This window comes from Homo sapiens, chromosome 18 (assembly GCF_000001405.40).
Source record: "Homo sapiens chromosome 18, GRCh38.p14 Primary Assembly".
Lineage (NCBI taxonomy): Eukaryota > Metazoa > Chordata > Mammalia > Primates > Hominidae > Homo > Homo sapiens.
Window position 1 is genome coordinate 5,626,063 of NC_000018.10, and position 18,621 is coordinate 5,644,683.

Consider the following 18,621-nt stretch of genomic DNA (forward strand, 5'->3'; position numbering starts at 1 on the left):
TGCTTTCAACTTGCTGCTCACTCTCTCATTATTTAGGATTCCAAGACAGTGTCCTTTTAGCTCCCACATCTGGCATTCTTCCCACAGTCCCACTGGAACATTGGTGCTTGCATTAGTTTTGGGCTAGGAGACCCTTAGCACTTCAGAATGCACACTAGACATCAATCAGCCCTGCTTTTTCACAAGACATCATCGTGACACCAAATCCTCCCAAATAAAAACCTCACATACTACTGAACTGCATGAAAACAAAACAAATTATTTTCATCTCTTCAGTGATCTGGTGGCTACTTTGAGTATTACATTCCAGTTTTCTCTACTCCCTGACAAAATGACCAATCATACACATTTTCTAATAGCCATATTTATTTTTTAATCTTTAATATAAATAGCGGGTTTCAATACCTTTTAAAATCTCTAGCCTCTTTAGCAGTTCTCCAATGAAAGTCATATTTCCTTACTAATTGTGCTTCTTGCTATTCTTGATTAACCAGCTCTGCACTGGAAAATTCTATGTTCCCATGTGCTAGGTCTCACACTTTGCTTCCAAGTAACTCAGATAACTCTGAAGTCACAAATTAATTCTCACAGTGTGGTAGGTGAAAATTACTATTCTCCTTACAGATAAGGAAGTAGTTGCCCAGAGTGGACTGTGACTTATCTCACTTCCTGGATCTTTTTAATAAACCATTCACAGCCAACTTCCCTCACTTAAAATCCTACAAAAATCTTGCCCTGCTTGAGTTTTTGCTTCTCCCTCCCTAATTCCTCAAGAGGAAAGCATGCCAATGTTCAGTGTATTGTGAGAATAGGTAATTTGGGATTGGAGGTAGCATGAAGAATCTGTGGCTCTTTGGCCTGGAGAAAAGAAGAAACAGAGAGAGATGGAAACTGCTCTTAAGTAGAAAAATGGTGGGTGTGTAGAAGAGAGAGAAGGCAGGGTGTTATAGCTCAGAAGGTGGAACTGGAAGGAAGGGAAAGCTATGCAGGCTGACCTTCCGCGGACTTCTCATTAGTCTGTTTACGCAGTGCTCCAGGAGAACTTTTCTTCAAATTCAGACCACAGGACCCATCCTCTGTGAAGTTCCCTTGCTGTTGCTGTTCAAAGTGCGAGGTCACTTTGCTGAGATCCCTTAACTTTCTCATGTATCTACACAATAGCCTCAAAATCATAACGCTTCCTTCCTTTTTGGCCTACCAACTAGGATGTGAGCTTCATATGGGCAGATGTGAACCATGGCATGTTCATCCCCGTGTTCCTAACATTTAAATACAAAATTTCTCTAAAATGGAATCAAACACTTCTGAAAGTAGTGAGATCCCAGTTTCTCTAGGTATTCAACCAGAGACTGTTATAAAGGGACTTTAACCATGCAACTCTACCACTCTGTAACTTCTAAATTTCCAATATCTTAAGTGCCTTCTTATTTGAAGTGATTTCACCAATCCCAAAGAGTTTAAAAACACAACTCATGAGGACCAGTGTGCATGGTTTAATTCTATTTTTAAACTCTTTGGGATATATAGTTTAATATTCTGATTTTAATAATGATTGACCTAAAAATTATTAAATGTATTTTCAGTGCAGTGTCTTTAATTATAAGCCCTGGTCTACACAAACATTTGTTGAACACCTACTAAATGCCAGACTCTGGGAATAAAAGAATGAGAAAGAGCCCTGCCCTCAATAACTTAACATTCCACTAAGAGCTGTATTTCCATTATTGGGATTGAGAGGTCATAGCCTAGCTGCAAACTCGGTTTTATACCTCTGCTCCTCAGTACTGAGAACGTTTTCCTAAGGTACTACACATTCTAAGAAGACTATTAACTAATGTTAATAGTTAACAAGAGAGGCTCTTTGACCCCTTGGTGTCACTAAGTCTGAACTGTAATTGATCCAACTGGGAACTGCCTATGGCCAGTAAGGGAAAGTGAAGACGGAGACTCCCAAGGTCATTTAAGAACCGACCTGAACTTGACTCTTTCCTTGTTCTAGATTATGTGTAACGATATGGGCACACTGGAGCCCACCCCGCTCCTACGCCGCAAAGCAGCACAATTACAGCCTGGGAGGGGCAAGTCTTGCGGGGCCCGTCGGTAACTGCCATTATTTGAATGCGATATAGGAGATCCCACATAGACCCTGCTCTACCGGGTTAGAATCTGTTTCTAATCACGTGGAATTTAGATTTAAACCACAGTTAGATTTGGGATTTACCATCGTTTCTACTTTCATTCATTTAGTGGCTTCCAGCCCTCTCGCGGCCCAGTCTTAATCCATCGCACTTCAGAGGGAATTACGAGGGAGTTGCGGACTGGCGGGGGCGGGGGTCTGTAACTAACACCAGGTGCCTGTGAGAGAGCCCCAAGGGCGGGGGCAGCACCTCCTGGCTGGGTTGGGTCCGCCTGGCCTCGCCTCGCCTCCGGGATCCTTGGCGCTCAGCGCCGCCCTCCCGCTACTGCGCTACCCGCCAGAGCCCGGCGTCTTCCCTTTCCTTGTCTTGTGGACGCCGCCCTTCGCTCCCGGGAGGATTTCGCCTCCAGCACCTCAGGCTTTTCTGGCGCAAAGGTCGCCAGCCCGAGCGAGCCCAGGCGGCGGCTTCACTTCTGCAGAGGGAAAGCGAAAGACGCGGCCGGCGGGCCGAGGGGGCGGCCGAACGCGCCGCGTGGTTGCTGCTCCCGAATCCGCAGCGGCGGCGCCAGGGCGGTCACCGAGCCCTGCGGACCCCGGCTCAACTTCCAGCGCCACTCGGGTGCCCCGAGCCCGCCGCAGCTCCCGGCGCGCCCTCCAGCCGCGGCACGCAGCCCCTGACGCGCCCGGGGCGCCCTCCCGCAGCACCAGCCAGGCCACCCCACCTCCCGCGCCGCGCTTCCCCGCCAGCCGCCGGCCAGGAGCTCCCCGGCTTCTGAGCAGGACGCGCCAAAGGGAGTTGGGAGGCTCAGCAGCCCCCAGCGTCGCCTTCTCGGGTGACGTGACGCTCTCTCTGGAGCGCGGGCCCGCCTCCGCCAAGCCTCCACCGCAGGTCCTTACAGCCGAGCCACGGGAAGATGCAACGCCGGGCGAGGGGCGCCTCCCGGATTTTGAAAAACAGCCTCATTCGCCTCGGGAACGCCTCGATCCCCCACCCGCACCCTTTGGCCAGATGATTTTAATCCTGGGATTCCGCGTTGGTCGTGGGGGTACCGGGAGCTGGAGCTGGAGGAGAGGAGCCGGCAGCGCGGAGTTGCCGGGGTGCAGCTGCGCGCAGCTGGCGGCGAGGGGAGGCGGTCCCTGCGGCTCCGCCGGGCTGGGGGAACTGGCTCCTGCGCCTCTGCCTCCCGGAGGATCGCACTCGCTCATCCTTACACACCACACACACACACACACACACACACACACACACACTGCCGCTAGCGCCCCCCACGCCACAAGCCGGAATGCGGAGGTCAGAGCCACTGTCCACTTGAAAGCAGGAAAGCAGGGGCTGAAACGCTGAGATGGAGGCGGAGGCTCTGGCCTCATCTGCGAGGTTCGCACCTTCCCGGAAGGCCCCCCCCTCCCCCGCGTTTCCCCAGGGCGAGCAAGGTCTAGCTTCTGAGACTCCGCTCTCTGGGCTAGCGGTTCGAGCTGCAGGGGGGCGGGGACGGATTCGGAGGGAGCACTAGAGAGAGAGCCCGCGCTCACTCCTGCCCTCCTCGCAAAGAACTGGCCAGCCCCACTCGCGTCCAGCCCACAACTAGGCTGCCGGGACCGGGGAGCCAGACCCCAGGTCGCTCCAACTCCGGCGAGGGCGGGGAGGGGAGTGACAGCAGCAACTAGCGCGCGCTGGCAAAAGCACAGAGTCTCGGAATAGGCTAAACGGCCGGCGCGGAGGGGTGGAGGCAAGAGGGGGCGGAGGAGGAGTTGCCCGAGCGGAGAGGGATGACGTCCTCCAGGGCCTTGGGCTCCGAGGAACCGAAGACTGGTGCGCTCGCCGGGCCCCGCGCACTAGCTCTGGGGTTCGCAGAGGCGCCGCGCCCGGCTTCCGCGGCAGCTCCAACACAGCGCGCAGGCGGTCGATCCCGGTCAGCTTAAACCGGGCGCAAGCCCTCTGTCCCCCTCAAAGCACCTCTCTGCTCGTCCCTAGTCTCCAGGTGCCCGTCTGAGAGTCCCTGTCGCCTCCGGGCGGACCCGGCCAGGCAGCCCCCGGTCGGGCCAGCCTCGCCCCTTCCTCGCTTTCTCCCCCATCGACCTCGAGCCAAGGGCAGGCGGCCCGCACCCGCGCCCCTGCCCACGGGGCTAGGCGGCGCTCCCGGCCTACGCCCGGCTGCCAAGAAGAGAAAGGCGCTCACCTGAGTCACCGAAGCCTTCCTTTGGGGCCCCTCCCGGAGCTTGTTCGCAGCCCGCAGGCACAACCTTCCTTGGAGAAAAAAAGTAGCGCAAGGGCAGAGAGAGGTAGGGCTGCTCACAGGTCCCTCCGCAGGGGCTCTTTCCTTCGAATTCTCCGGGGTCCAGTCTCGGGCTCGGCGGCGGGAAAGAGCTCCTGGAGGCTGGAAGGGGCCGCCAGACCCGGGCTCCTCCCGCAGCTGCGGTGGCGGCACCTCCAAGTTGCCACCTGCAGCGCGCTTCGGGCGCCTGTGACAGCCCGCGCCGCTCAGCCCTCGCGGGCCCGCCCTCCCCGTCCGCTCGTTGGCTGCGCCCGGTGCCCGGGCGGTCCCCGCGCTCTGCCCCGCCCTGAGCCCGCCTCCCAGCCGCGCGCTCGCAAAGTATGGGTCTCCTTACAGGCCTCCTCCCTGGGCTTTATAGCCAGCGGGCTCTGCAAGCAGGGATAGAATTACACACACACACACACACACACACACACACGCACACAATTTTGTGTAGATAGGGAGTGGAGGGAAGGGAGAGGCTATGATAAATGTCCCTTCGTGTGCCTTAAGGGGACCTGGTAACTTGGTTTCTTTTGCTGGTATTAAATTTTTGCAATCTCTGAAAAGAGTTAACTTCACAGCGGCAGTCTAGGGATGTAGGCCAGAAAGTGGCTTGGAGGCTGTTTCATTTAAGCATCTTCCAACTTCACATGAAGCGCCAAAATATGAAGAGCAGTGTGTAGACGCAGCTTGCACCGTTTTCTCACCCAGCCTGCACCCCTGCAGCGGAGGACCCTGGCGTTCCAGGGCCTGCAAAGCCATCCCCACTGGTGCCCACGGGATTTCCAGGCCTGAAGGCTCAGCGTGTCACATGCGTGTTTGCTTGATTCTGTGGCCTGTGAGTCCAGGCCATCAGAATGTATGCCCGTGCACACACAAACGAGATCTGTGCTTTCTACAACTCTTGGACCTTCTAAGTAAACAAAAGGAACATTATCTTTCTTTTCCCTTCCACTTCTGCCCCAAAGACCTGGACAAGAGTTCACTGCACAGTCTGTCCCTGGGCACTCAGGCCACTCTTCACTCACTCTGCCTCCTAGTAGCTCCTAGAGGTGTGCTTTCTGGAAAACTGATTTGGTAAAGCCTTCTGGAGGAGGAAAAGCTATAAAATATGACAATCACAAGTCTGGAAAGCCATCCAATCAACCAGAAACGTCTGACTCTTGGGTGTATCTATGTGAAAGAGGTACATTGCCAAGTGCCTATTAGTTTAATAACATTTCAAAATTAACTGCCCAAATAGCACATTTTATAGCCCATTAGGGAAATGTCTATGTTTTGAGAGTGCAGGTGTTGCACTGTTAAGTGAGACTGGAGTGTGCACATGCAGCTCACATCTACCTGTGTTTTGTGCAATCCTCAGCAGGCTGAGGCAGAGGAAAGAGACTTTCTATAGGATGTCAGAGGTGGCTTTATACAAGGGCATATTGGAAACAGTTGGCACCAGTCAAGAAGCCACACCTTGTCAACTGTTGCTAAGTAACTTGGAAGACCGCTATATACCACTGGTTCCTTGCATCAAAGCAAAGATTTTGTTCCATGAGACCCTATCATCTTGGGTCCACTTTGGAAATTAAAAGCAAACTTTTTTCCCTGCAGCCAAGTGCTTACTCTGGCCACTCTCAAAAGAGGCAAGCTAGTCCTCGCCTTTCCTCTTGAAACTCCTGAAGACAGCAGTCTAGTGGCAAAGCATTCACAGTCATATATTTCAATACCCCAGGCTAAATGTTTGCTTATGAATCGCACCTTGAACTGAATTAGGTAAAACAATGAGTAGAATGAAGGTGTGGCTTGCTCAAGTTTAAGTCCAGATTGATTCAATAACTGGAGGAATAGCTGATAAAAAAAAATAGGGGCAGAAGGGTGGGTAATGGGGGTAGCAGTGACTATTAAACTAGATATGTGTCTGTTACGTTGGTAGCCAGGTGAGGCACAACTAGACAAGATGGATTTCTTTCTGGGAGTGCTGTGCCAAGCATAGAAGTGATGAAAAGTTCTTCCTCAGGAAAACAATGTTCCTTCATATTAGAGACAGAGCTTGAAGACTGGTGTGAATGAGAAAGTATGATGTAGGAAAGAGGGAGGAATGAGAAAGGATTGGAAGAGAAAATGGGAGAGTCTGTTGACAGTGGGAGAAATCAGTGGACACTGGAGCCCCTGTGGCTGAAGATTCTGAAGAAGACAAAAGAGAATGTGAAGGAAGTCAGTGTGGAAACTGAGACCTGGAACAGCTTCTCCAACACCTCTGTGTGTGTTTTGCTGAATTTGCATGTGGGACACTTTATGTAAACATTTTCTTTATATGCGGAAAGAAGATAAGGGTGTCTACCTGTCCGAGCTGTGGTAAGGGCTGACTGAGATAATGCATCTGCAGTGCTCTGCGTATAGTAAGCATTCAATAAATAGTAGTTACTATTATAAGCTGTGTTTAAAAGGGGCTTAAAGGTCACCTATCACTTCCAACACTTGTTGCCACTAGACTATTTCCACCAAATGCCCCTCTTGCCTATGCATTACCTGTGATAAGAATCATTACCTTCAGGCCAGGTGTCATGGCTCACAGCACTTTGGGAGGCTGAGGTAGGAGATCACTTGAGCCCAGGAGTTCAAGACCAGCCTGAGCAAGAAAGTGAGACCTCAACCCACCCCGCCACCCAGCCTCTACCAAAAAAAATAAATAAAATAAAATAAAAAAGAAAGTCTCATTACCCCTGAATAGTCTTCTATTTCATAGTGGAACATAGTCAAATATGAAACTATGGAATTTCGTTTTCCATAGTTGAAGGTAAAATGTGTCTCACTACCCTTTTTACCAGTTGGTTCTGTTTCTATTCATGGTAGTCCTCCAAATGTGTAAACTGTGTTTCACAAAAAAGCATTCCAAATTGTTTAAAACAAATCACAGATGCTCTGCATGACTTCTTTTGTTGAGGCTAAACATGACCTGTCCCTTTGGTCTCTCCTCACATGATCTGCTTTCACAATCTTTCCTCATCTCTTACCCTCCAAATTGCCTCTGACCTCCTTAAAATATAAACACACTGCTTCGGCCCAGTCCTCCTAGCAAAACACGTCAGTTCAACATGCTGCTGTCAGTGTAGCTTTTGAATGGGCAAGTCACACTCTTGATACTCATTGAGTTTCCTGAGAACTAAAACTCATGTATCTTCATATGTTACTGTTTGTGCATAACTTTGTGGAGGAGTCCTAGTTTTGTCCTTTAATGTTTTCTTTTCTGTAAAAGGAGAAGATTAGACTAAATGACTAATGAGGTCCATTTAAGACAATTATTTGGAAATAATTTAAACTTAAAAAATAGGGGAAAGTGGTGTGAAGAAATTCAATATCTGTCTCTCCTAGTTTTCCTAATTTTTATTATTTTATATTTGATATGTCTCTAGATATATCTAGATAGGTAGATAGATACTCATGATTAATATTCTTTTTTCTGAATCAGTTAAGAGCAGGTACAGACATGCTGCTCCATCACCCTTAAGTACTTCAGTGTGTGTATTTCCCCCAAACCAGGATTCTATCTTACATGAGCATAATACAACATTGAGATAACACCATCCACAAATCCATAGAATCTATTCAAATTTTGCCAACTTTCCCCTGAATGTCTGTTTTTCTTTATGGTCCAGAATCCAGCGTAGGATCACATATTACATTTAGTTGACATGTCTTATTATTTTCCTTTAATCTGCTACAATTTTTCAGTTTGTTCCCCAACTTTCATGACCTTCATGGCTTTAAAAACATATACCTTTCATTCTGTAAGCTGTTGCTCCACTTGGGTACATCAACTGTTTCTTCATATCTGATCCAGGCCATACATCCTTATCAAGAACATCAAAGAAATGATACTTTACCACTGAGAGTGCATGACATTAAAAGGCATGTGGTATCAGTTTAACAGAACCACCATTATGATGTTAACTTTTAACATCTGGATTAGTGGATACTGGGATTCTCCATTATAAAGTCACCATTTTCCCACTGGTAATTAATAAGTATTTTGGAATATGCTCTGAGGTTACACCCATATTCTGTCCACATTGAAACTTCACACAGCCAGTATTGGCGGGCATTGATAGCGCCTGCCTAAATCAGTCACCATTGTGATGGCTGCCAAATGGCAATTTTCCATTTGCACCTTTGTTTTTTTTTTGTTTTTGGCATTTATTAGTCGGCATCCTTCCATAAAGAACATCTTGCCCTTCCCTGCACTTATTTACTTATTGTAGTCTAGGCTTATGGTTTTCTAGTCTATTCTATGGGTTGCATTCCATTACTTTCATTATTCATTTTGATACCCAAATTGTCCCAGATTTTGCAAGTGGGTGTCTTCTCAAGCTGGCTCTTAGGTCCCTCTGACATGTTCCCATTGTGTTTTGAGCAACCGCTTACTTTGTGGCACATCAAGATGTTCCAGGCTCATTTTGTACCTTCCCTGCCCCTGCCCTGAAATCAGCCCCACTCTCCAAAGAGGCCTGGTTCCTCTCAGTGGAAGATGGCATTTAAAAACCCGATCTGGACCCTTGGTTGGCTACTACTGCTGGGGTGTCAGACTTTTAGGCCCTTTCAGTGGACACAGTTAGGAAATAAATGATACAGGGTCACACACAACCACACATACACATGTATGTTTGTTACTATATGTGTGGATATCTGTATCTGTATCCATCTATAAATATATGTGTACCTCTATATCTCTATAACTATCACTATATTGTGGATTCACATCAATACCTTCCATTCCAAGCCAACACGTCAGGATTCTTTTTAGCCTTTCTCCTTTCTATATTTGTAAATCTCTTCTCCAACAAACAGAGAGAAACCTGACTCCCATTATCTTGAGTATATTGACTTATTTGCTCCATCTGGCCTTATATAACAATCTCTGACGACATCAGCCGCCTCCTCACTCTTGCTCCGATTGCTGCGCCTTTGATCCTCCTGCCCCTGGGCTTCTGGCTCCACCACAGCCTCTGTGACATGTCTCCTTGGTCCCTGGTTCTGCTGCTGCCTCCTCAGCTTCTGACCACACCCACTCAGTAAAATGACTTTGCTGTCCTTGCAGTTGTTCAGGTCAAAATCCTGAAGTTATCCTTCATAATATTCTTTCTCTCACATCCTGTACCCAATCTATAGCAAATTCTGTTTGCTCTCCCTTCAGATAGGCCCAGAATTCAACCCTTTCTACCATCTCCACCATGACTTCCCTGGCTCTGGCCAACATCATCTCTTGTCTGGACTTTTTTTTTTTTTTTTAGACAGGGTCTCACTCTGTTGCTCGGGCTGGACTGCAATGGTGAAATCTCGGCTCATTGCAACCTTTGCTTCCCGGGTTCAAGAGATTCTTCTGCCACAGCCTCCCTAGTAGCTGGGATTACAGGCACCCACCACTGCACCCAGCTAATTTTTGTATTTTTAGTAGAGACAGGGTTTCACTGTGTTGGCCAGGATAGTTTCGAACTCCTGACCTCAGGTGATCCACCCACCTCAGCCTCCAAAAGTGCTGGAATTACAGGCTTGAGCCACCGCGCCCGGCCTTGTCTGGACTTTTGTAATCGTCTCCTAACTGATCCCCTGCACCACCCCTTCCTTACTTTCCTAAAGACAATTGTCAGTCCAGTAGCCTGAATAGTACTTTCAAAATATGCCGCATCATTTCACTTCCTTGCTCAACGGCGTCCACATGGGCAGATCCTAACGATCTGCCTCTTTCACCTTGTCTTCTACTGCTCTCCACCTGTCCCCTCCTCAGCACGCTGGCTTTCCTACCCTTCCTTCTACCTGGGACTTTCTTCCCCATGTAGCCTCATATCTCTCTTCCTCACCACGTTTAAGTCTTTGCTCAAACATGTCTTTTTCAGTGAAGTCTTGTCTGGGCACCATATTTAGCATTGCACTCCCTCCTTCCGATTTACCTTCTCTCCCTCACCTGCTTGGCTTTTCTGTGTAGCATGTATCACAGTCTACCATACTATATATTGTCTTGATCCAGTTATAGTCTGCAGCCTCCCTGCCCTCCTGCCTTGATTATAAACTCCGTGAAAAGGGAGAGTTTGGCCCGTTTTGTTTACTGCTGACTCCACAGTGCCTATTGCAGAGCCTGATATATAAGAGATCCTCAATAAATATTGGTTAAATTAATGGATGAAATTACAAAAATACAGAAATGTATTTAGGAGTAACTATACATATACCCATGCTAAGTGGTTGCCAATGTGACTTGAGAGTCTGAGGCCAAATGGTGTTAACCTGAAAGGTTTCACAGAAAGGAATTCTGCACACACATTAAAGGCAGAGTATAGTAAAAGGCTATCAAAAATGTAAAGACAGAATAAAACACATTTCATTCAGCTCATTGAGCTTCATTGTGTTTGATGATTATGAACTAGAGTACGTAATCTGGAAACAGGGGCTATCAGGCATCAATTAACCACTTGTCAGACCAAATTATGTACCATTAGGCATTAAAATCAAAAGTCCTAGAAATATTTCCAAACACAGTCTCTAAAATCATCTATTCTATTCACAGGCTTTAGACATATTTTTCTGCTATGAAAACAGAAGCAGAAAGAACTCATTAAAGGGGTTCAGGAAATTTTAAATCTAGTACCTTCTTCTTTCTTTAAAGGCATCCACTCAGTTCACCAAGGGAAATAAAGCCTCTTCTTTCATTATTAAAGACCTAGGTCCAACTTGGTCCTTTATAAGGCATAAGTCCTCAGAAAACATTTATATAAAATGTAATGGAAACTCATACACATTGGACAAATTTTCAGCATCGATTAGTCATCACATTTTTAATGTACCTCATTCTGCATACTTTGGAAGACTCTGAGTGCACATTTGAAAACTGTTTAGAAAGCAAGTTTCACTGAGGCCAGTCTTACAATTATTTAATGACGGTGCTTAGTGACAACACATAAGATACTTATATTTGCAATTGCAAAAGTTGTTATTTTTATTTTCTATAAATCTCTCCAAATATATAGCTATACATTTGGGATATTTCAATGAGCTCAATGAATTGAATGAAAAATATAACTCTGATACAAATTTTAGGTATTCTAACTTTTAAAGGTTTTCAGCACATCCTTGACGGAATGTTGAGGTGGTTGGAAAGAGAGTTATTTCTTTTAAATTTATCTCATTAGTATGTAGCTTTCAAAATGAATTTTGGATTCTGCAAAAATAGCTATCTGGTTTGTGCATTAAGGATCTTTTGCAAGGAAGACCTTTCCATGTTTACTCAAAGGAGCCATCACTGCTAACACAATGACTGGCAAAGCTCATTGCTGGTGTCCAATGCCTACCCGTGCACAAACTGGAGACTGACCCTTGCAGCATAAATCTCTTCTTCCTGATGCTGTTACTCTGGCACTGAAAAGTGTGAATGTTACGCAAAAAGTCAAATAAACCTAAGACTTCTTGAAATGCCTCCTAAGTTATTGCCTCATGCTGTTCCTTTATTAGCTCATGCTGTTCCTTTATTAGCTGTGTGATCTCAGCCTAATCTCTCTGAATCTCAATTCCCTTATGTGAGTTGGGAATGGCAATGAGTATCTTATGGAATAGGTAGGATTAAATAAAATAATTTGGTGAAAGGTCTTTGAAAACTATGAAGTTCACAATCGTCCTCCTCATGAGGCTACCTATGGTGAGCAATGACAGAAGTTTTAAAGTGCTCTCAAATGTGAAGCCTCTCCTCCTCTTCCACCTCTTCCTCCTCCTTCTCCTTCTCTAGATGCTACAATCCTGCTTTCTCCCTAAGTGAAGTCCTACTCTACTTTTTAAAACAATTGACCTCTCAGTGATTTCTCTGTACTCCAGAACATGTTACATTTGACATGGCATGAACTAGCCCCAGAATGGTTTCTTTGAAATTGTCCCTAAATTAAAATAAAAATTTAACCAAGTTGCTGATACCAGAAAGTTCCAGAGTAAGCTCTGCCCTTTGCAGCAAAATATCAAACAGCAGTGACTGATCAATAAGCCTTCCACATAACTGCAGATCGTAAAGTCACTGTAAAGATTTAGCACTTGTCGTTTCCTTGTTCTTTGCTTGATGCATGCCAGCCTCTGAAAAGAGCACTCTAGGAGACCGAAACCAGTGAGGTTATTTTCTGATCTGGAGCAACGCATGCAACCTCAGCAGTAAGCTGAAGTTTATTATCTGAAAAGTGAATTCTTTGTCAAATTTTACAAAGCAAGAAATGCTCAAAATACAACCTAAGACTGATACATGTAAGTTGGCAGCTGTTGACATCTGTATCACCTTAAGCCAATGCTGGTAACTGGAGTGAAAGTTAATCTGAGTTATGCTTTTTATCTTTTAAAATGACAGCCATGCTCTTGGTCATGAAAATCCATGCATTTTAGCTGATATTTCATTTACTGAGATTGAGTTCATTTTAATTTTTCCTAAAAGAAATCATTGAATATCTTTCATTCAGCTAGAAACTAGGATCAGAAGCCCAGTTTCTAAAGGAGGCAACCACTTTCTCCAATTACCTTGGATTGTGCTGGTGTGAGCCTCCTCCAGTTTTGTTAGGTGATGGGTGATGATCATATCCTTTACTGTACTTGGGATTTAGGTGTACTTGGGATTTGGGTCACTGCTAACCCAAAGGGCTGTCTTTTCTGAAAATAAATCCCCGCAGGCACAAAGCTATCTTGTATTAGGGCAAACAATTGGCTGGGTCCTGGCACTCTCTGGCCCCCTTGTATTGTCTGGGGCTTTAAAGTCATGTATCTATATATTCAGGTCCCACCGACATCTAGCAGTAGCTGATTATGCAGTGTTAACCCTTCACTTTGATTGATTTCAGGAACTCTACGCTTGCTGGTGGTCCCTGAGGTTTTGTGGTAGCAGAGACTTGAGTTCCCTTTAACTAATGTTTAGGCAAGAAAGGGAAGAAGCAAAGCTCATCAAGACAGGGGCCAGACAAAGGGCTTTTTGCTGGAACAGTCATTCTATAGATCTAAAATGGATAATCCATGGGTTGAATTATTACCCTTTTAATGCAACTTTATAATACTCTTATGAAGTCAGCTGGGGTCACTTCAGGTCAAAGCAAGACTAGCCGATTTCTGTAGTGATAGTATCCTATAATCTCGACTGTGTGGCTCCTAGATCTTGTCAGTCTCTATCTCTGACCTAACCCTCACTTTTATGATCTTGTCTTACCTGGCTTGATGTAGTTGTTTGTGGGGGTTGGATTGTCCCCAGTGGAAGAGGCTGATGCAAGATTTTGCCAGACCCGCGATGTTGTGAAAAGGGATTTGAGACAGGTATCATGCAGGCATCACACAGGAATCCCAGAAACATGAAGGGTTTCTTTGGAACTGTAAGATACTAAATTATGAGTTGTTTCCTCCGTAAATAGTGTATCACTGACACTTTAAAGGGAAGAATTTGCTCCAGAGAATTGTTCAGTCATCAGATTCTAAGTAAACTTGTTAGTGTTCTCATATTTCCCACATCATTGGTCAACAAAAGGGACAATGCTTATTTTTAAAAGCTAATCTAGAATTTAAAACCTATAAGAAAATGACATTTCTCCCAGTGTTTCAACTTTAAAACCTGTATTTATGTGCACATAGCAAAGATTCCTGTAGGACCCTGAGTCACCTGGAGACTTATCAGGTTTGGCCAGATCTGTCTTCAGATTATGTTTTGAATATGCCCACCTCTTCTGTCCTGCAGTTTCCAAACCTTTGTTTTCTCTTGCCTGGACTATCAGTAGCCTCCTGACTATTCCCCACCCCTGCTGCCTTCTGTCTTATCCTCCGCATTTCATCCAGAGAGGTCCCTCTTTTACTTGATACATTTCAGTGACTTTCCATTCCCCGCAGATGCAATGCATAAATGCACAATGGAGCCCAGGCAGGGATTGCCACCTGCCTACCTAGCAGCTTCATCTCCTCTCACCTCACCAGGCCCCAGTGCGGCTTACTCTGAGTTCTACGATTGCAAAGAGCTCTTTTCTACCCCGGGCCTTCTCACTGGCTGTTTTATCTGCCTGGATTCCTCTTTCCCATCTCTTCATTTTGCTAAGGCCTGTTTTATTCCTCAAGCCCAATTGCTGACTCACCTCCTCAGGGGGAGCTGGCTCTCCCCTTGCACCTCTCAATTTCAGTTAAATTCCACATAACCTGTATATTCGCCCACCCCCAGCTCTGGACACTCAGTAGTGGCCGATTCATGACATTCCCTGAGATGACCGCAAGATCTGTGAAGACAGAGACAGTGAGAATTTGTTCTCCCCTTTGTCTACAGCAGGTAGACGACCTTCACCTGGAGAGAAGGTGGCACATTGTGGTCGATCACACCAGCTCTGGAGCGAGACTTCCTGGGTTTAGTTCCAGCTCTGTCTTTCTGACCTGGGGTAAGTGACCAGCACCTCTGTATGTCAACTTCCTTATCAGCCCAAACGGACCACTGTGGTACCCATACCATTAGATTTCCTTTTCTGTCAAGTGGGGATAATGACAGGCTCCTTCCACAGTACAAAATTACGAAGTTTCGCTTAGTTCGTATGTTAATATACTTTGGATATTTGTCTCAGTCACCTGTTGAATTGTAATCTGCAGTGCTGGAGGTGGGCCTGGTGGGAGGTGTTTGGATCATGGGGGCGGATCCCCAAGACTGCTTGATGCTGTCTTCCTGATAGTGAGTTCTCACAAGATCCGGTCCTTCCTCCCAACCCTCTCTCTCTTGCTCCTGCTCTCCCCCGTTTTGCCTGCTCTCCCTTCACTTTTCGCTGTGATCATAGCGTCCTGAGGCCTCCCTAGACGCTGAGAAGACGTCAGCACCGTGCTTCCTGTAAAGCCTGTAGAACCCTGAGCCAATTAAACCGCTTTTCTTTATAAATTACCCAGTGTCAGGTGTTTATAGCAATGCAAGGACTACCTAACACTTATTTGTAAAGCACTTAAGAAAATTTCGAGCACCTGGTAAACAATGTTAGTTATTATTATAAGGTATTCTTACAATCAATAAATATTTTTTATTGAAAAAATGAATTGATTTATTCTACTTTTGTCATAGATTTTTTGTCCTCATTTTGGATAATTATTCCTTGATTTAAATTATATAATACATATTAGTAATATGTATTATATATTAGTTATATGTAATACATATTAGTAATATGTATTATATAATTATAATAGATAAAATAATAAAATCCTCCTGGTTAACATAATTAGTTAAGAATTACATTTTTTAGTCAAGAAAGATATGATAAACAGCATCGAAAGTGCCAGATTTGTACTTTTTAAAATATCAATTCAGAGTTGTAATGGATTTTGTTTTTGACACTTTCTTTGCCTTCCCATCACAGTTCAGGCATAAAATGATGGCTCACACAGTATCCCAAATTTGGCACTTCTTTTGATAGAAAAATAGAAGAAGGACCTGGAAAATCTCTGATAATTAACAAAGAGAGAAGAGCCATTTTGTTCCTTTTTTCAGATAATGTTTGCCATCATCCAAATATATTTATTAGGAACATTGCCATAGAGAACAAATATATTTATTAGGAACATTGCCATAGAGAAATTGCCAGCTTCTTGACTGGTATCAGAAAAAAATGCCTAAATTAACATTAGCTATCTATGTTTTTGGTCTCTTTTTTCTTTAAGTGAATAAATCCATTACACGAATAGAAAGAATAGTGAAAAGAACATTTGTTTCTACTCAAACCTTGGCTGTTTATGGTTGCGATGTCTCTTTTTAAGCTAAAAGCATCTCTGTCATTATTTTCTGTAACTAGTCCATCATTTATTACAGCGTATTTATCATTTTCTAGTTCACAACATTTAGAATGAACCATTATGACACTTAGGTCAAGGTAGCTTGTTATGTTGGAATGGTTTCTCTAATAATATATTAATGGCCATGATTTGGATATGTGATTATTTACTTTACAATTGGGCAAAATAATTGAGTATTTCTAAAATATAGGTATATCATATCCTGGAGAGTTGTTCTGTTTTTATTGTTGTTACTATTGTTGTTTTTTATGAAATGTATACATATGGGCTGGGCGTGGTGGCTCACACCTGTAATCCCAGCACTTTTAGAGGCTGAGGCAGGGGATCCCTTGAGCCCCGAAATTTGAGACCAGCCTGGGCAACATAGTGAGACCCCATCACAAAAAAAGTATATATATATGTATGCAGGCTTCACAGTGAACATTGAAGAAAATTAACCTCTGCTTTATAACAATAGTTTGCAGTTTCTCTCAGAACAGGGCATGACTTAGCTACCTGCTTTACTGAGTTTTGAAAAGGCTTTTGTATATAAAATTACACCTTAATTTAGTGACTCAAACCCATACCTATTTTGGTTAGAAGATTGGAATATAATTAATGTCCTTAGTTGTTGGCTGGTTTATCCTTCAAAGGCTAAATTTAGCTGTATAGAACTATTTTATATTAAAAGCCAATTTATTTGCTATTTGTTAAGTTCCATGTTTTTATTTAAAATAAGCCTTTATATTATTCCACAGCTTCCCACCTCCCCATCCCCAGATTATCCCACCCACTGTCAAATTTGCTGTTTGAAATTTTTGACACTCTTATTCTTGTATATATTTTTAAATATAAAAATAAAACCTTACTGTATGTACTGCGTGCTAACCTGATTATTTTCATTTAATAAGTATTGTGAACATTTTGCTGTTCGAAAAGTCTAATTTTTACTTTTTGGAAAAAAAAAAGCCAACAACCATAGTTCTGATTCTTAGATCCTGTTTCTCGAGGGCTCAAGTGCTGAAATACTGACTCTGCAAACTGAGGTCTGAGTACGAGTCCAAGCAGTCCACGAAGCCTCACGAAATGTTGCAGTCAAACATGGAAGCTAAGCAATACTCTTACAAAGCGTTAGGTTAGGTTAGCTCCTCAGTAAATCAAGGGCAGTCCAGGGTGCAAAAGTCTGTCATTTGTTATTTGGTTGTTTTTAAAACACCTGCAGATATAGCGATTAAAATAACCTTCTGTTCGAAGTACAGGTATATATCCATTTTATTGCCCGAGTATGGATTCCTGTTGGCTGAGATCAGGCCATATCAAATGTAGTTTGCCACATTCTACCTGCCTAATCCTGATCGTTGTCTTGATTTAGGCAGCTGAGAGCAGAGTTGGAGTAGTTTTTCTTCACTGCAGCTTGGGAAATCTCCCCTACTTTTTTATTGTGGCATAATATAGATATTTACCATCTTACCCACTTTATATGTACAGCCTAGTGGCATTAAGTACATTTACATTGTTGTGCAATCCTTGCTTGAAACTTTTTGAGTTAAGCAGCAACGTGGACTATGCTAAGGTGTTTTGTTTTGTTTTGTTTTGTTTTGTTTCTCCTTGGATGCTCTTCTCCCTTCAGCAGTGACTGATGAGAACACGCGGCTAACCAGAAGTACTTGGTAATTCTGGATGCTGGAAATTTTATTCCAGATAAAGTACTTTCTGATATTGTCTGGGATGACTATTTAGAATGATTTTGAGTTTTACACTATTACTTAGGAGCAGAGAGTTTTATAGAAAGCTGCTAGTATTAAGGACATTGATCAATACCAGGAGACAGTTGTTGCAGAACTTGACCTTTAGAAGTGGACACTCTCTTCCTCTCTTCACGTCCCAGAGTTCTGAAGCAGTGGACCTCAGTGCTATTTCTTATTTTATCAGATAATTGCAACTTCAGGTGCAAACATTAACCACCAAAAGTGTATTGTTATGTTTGATTGCACTCAGAATAACCAATCAGACTGCATTTGCATGACAGGCAATGAGACAACTTTGAGACTGAGCTCAATTACTTGTTCTGGGAGTGCCATCCTCAACAAGATTGAACAGGTGGGCTCTCTGTAAAGCCATCATGCCTCCACGTCTTTCATTCAGATGCAAAGAAGAGCCAGTGCCAGGCATACATGCCTTTTTTCTCTGTTTGTGCTCTCTTCAAAGAGCACAGACAGACACTGCAGATTCGTGCAACGTGCCTCAGATGGCTCTCCGGGTACCTGTGCATGGCCAAATGAACCAGGAAACCCAACATGTGTGCAGACCCATTTTCATTTGAATTCCCATGTGAATCCCCTCATATTTTCTAAGTGTTAACTCTGAATGAGTGTGCAAATCATGAATAGACCACTGCTGTTTTGTTTTCCTGCCTTCAGTTTGCTACTCTGTGCAGAGAGAACTGGCCAGGTGTGA

General features: G+C 44.4%; 1 protein-coding gene across 16 annotated transcripts in view, besides 2 other annotated features; it reads right to left on the reverse strand.

Moving 5' to 3' along the window:
• EPB41L3 (erythrocyte membrane protein band 4.1 like 3) overlaps positions 1-4,601 on the reverse strand; it is a 238,278-nt gene extending 233,677 nt beyond the window's left edge. For 15 of the 16 annotated variants that reach the window (NM_001384702.1, NM_001384706.1, NM_001384705.1 and 12 more), the window contains exon 1: positions 4,315-4,601. The gene's annotated coding sequence lies outside the window, so the exon portion shown is untranslated. Of the gene's footprint in view, positions 1-2,859; positions 2,930-4,314 lie in introns of those variants that run through there. The other variant, NM_001281535.2, reaches the window with a different exon arrangement.
• Positions 3,625-4,129: an enhancer, noted in NCBI's record as "H3K27ac-H3K4me1 hESC enhancer chr18:5629686-5630190 (GRCh37/hg19 assembly coordinates)". NCBI's record gives its function as "activates a minimal SCP1, AML or CMV promoter by ChIP-STARR-seq in primed H9 embryonic stem cells {active_cell/tissue: H9 hESC(primed)}" and the evidence as "EXISTENCE:reporter gene assay evidence [ECO:0000049][PMID:30033119]".
• Positions 4,566-4,795: a silencer, noted in NCBI's record as "silent region_9263". NCBI's record gives its function as "represses an Ori minimal core promoter by ATAC-STARR-seq in GM12878 lymphoblastoid cells {active_cell/tissue: GM12878}" and the evidence as "EXISTENCE:reporter gene assay evidence [ECO:0000049][PMID:35858748]".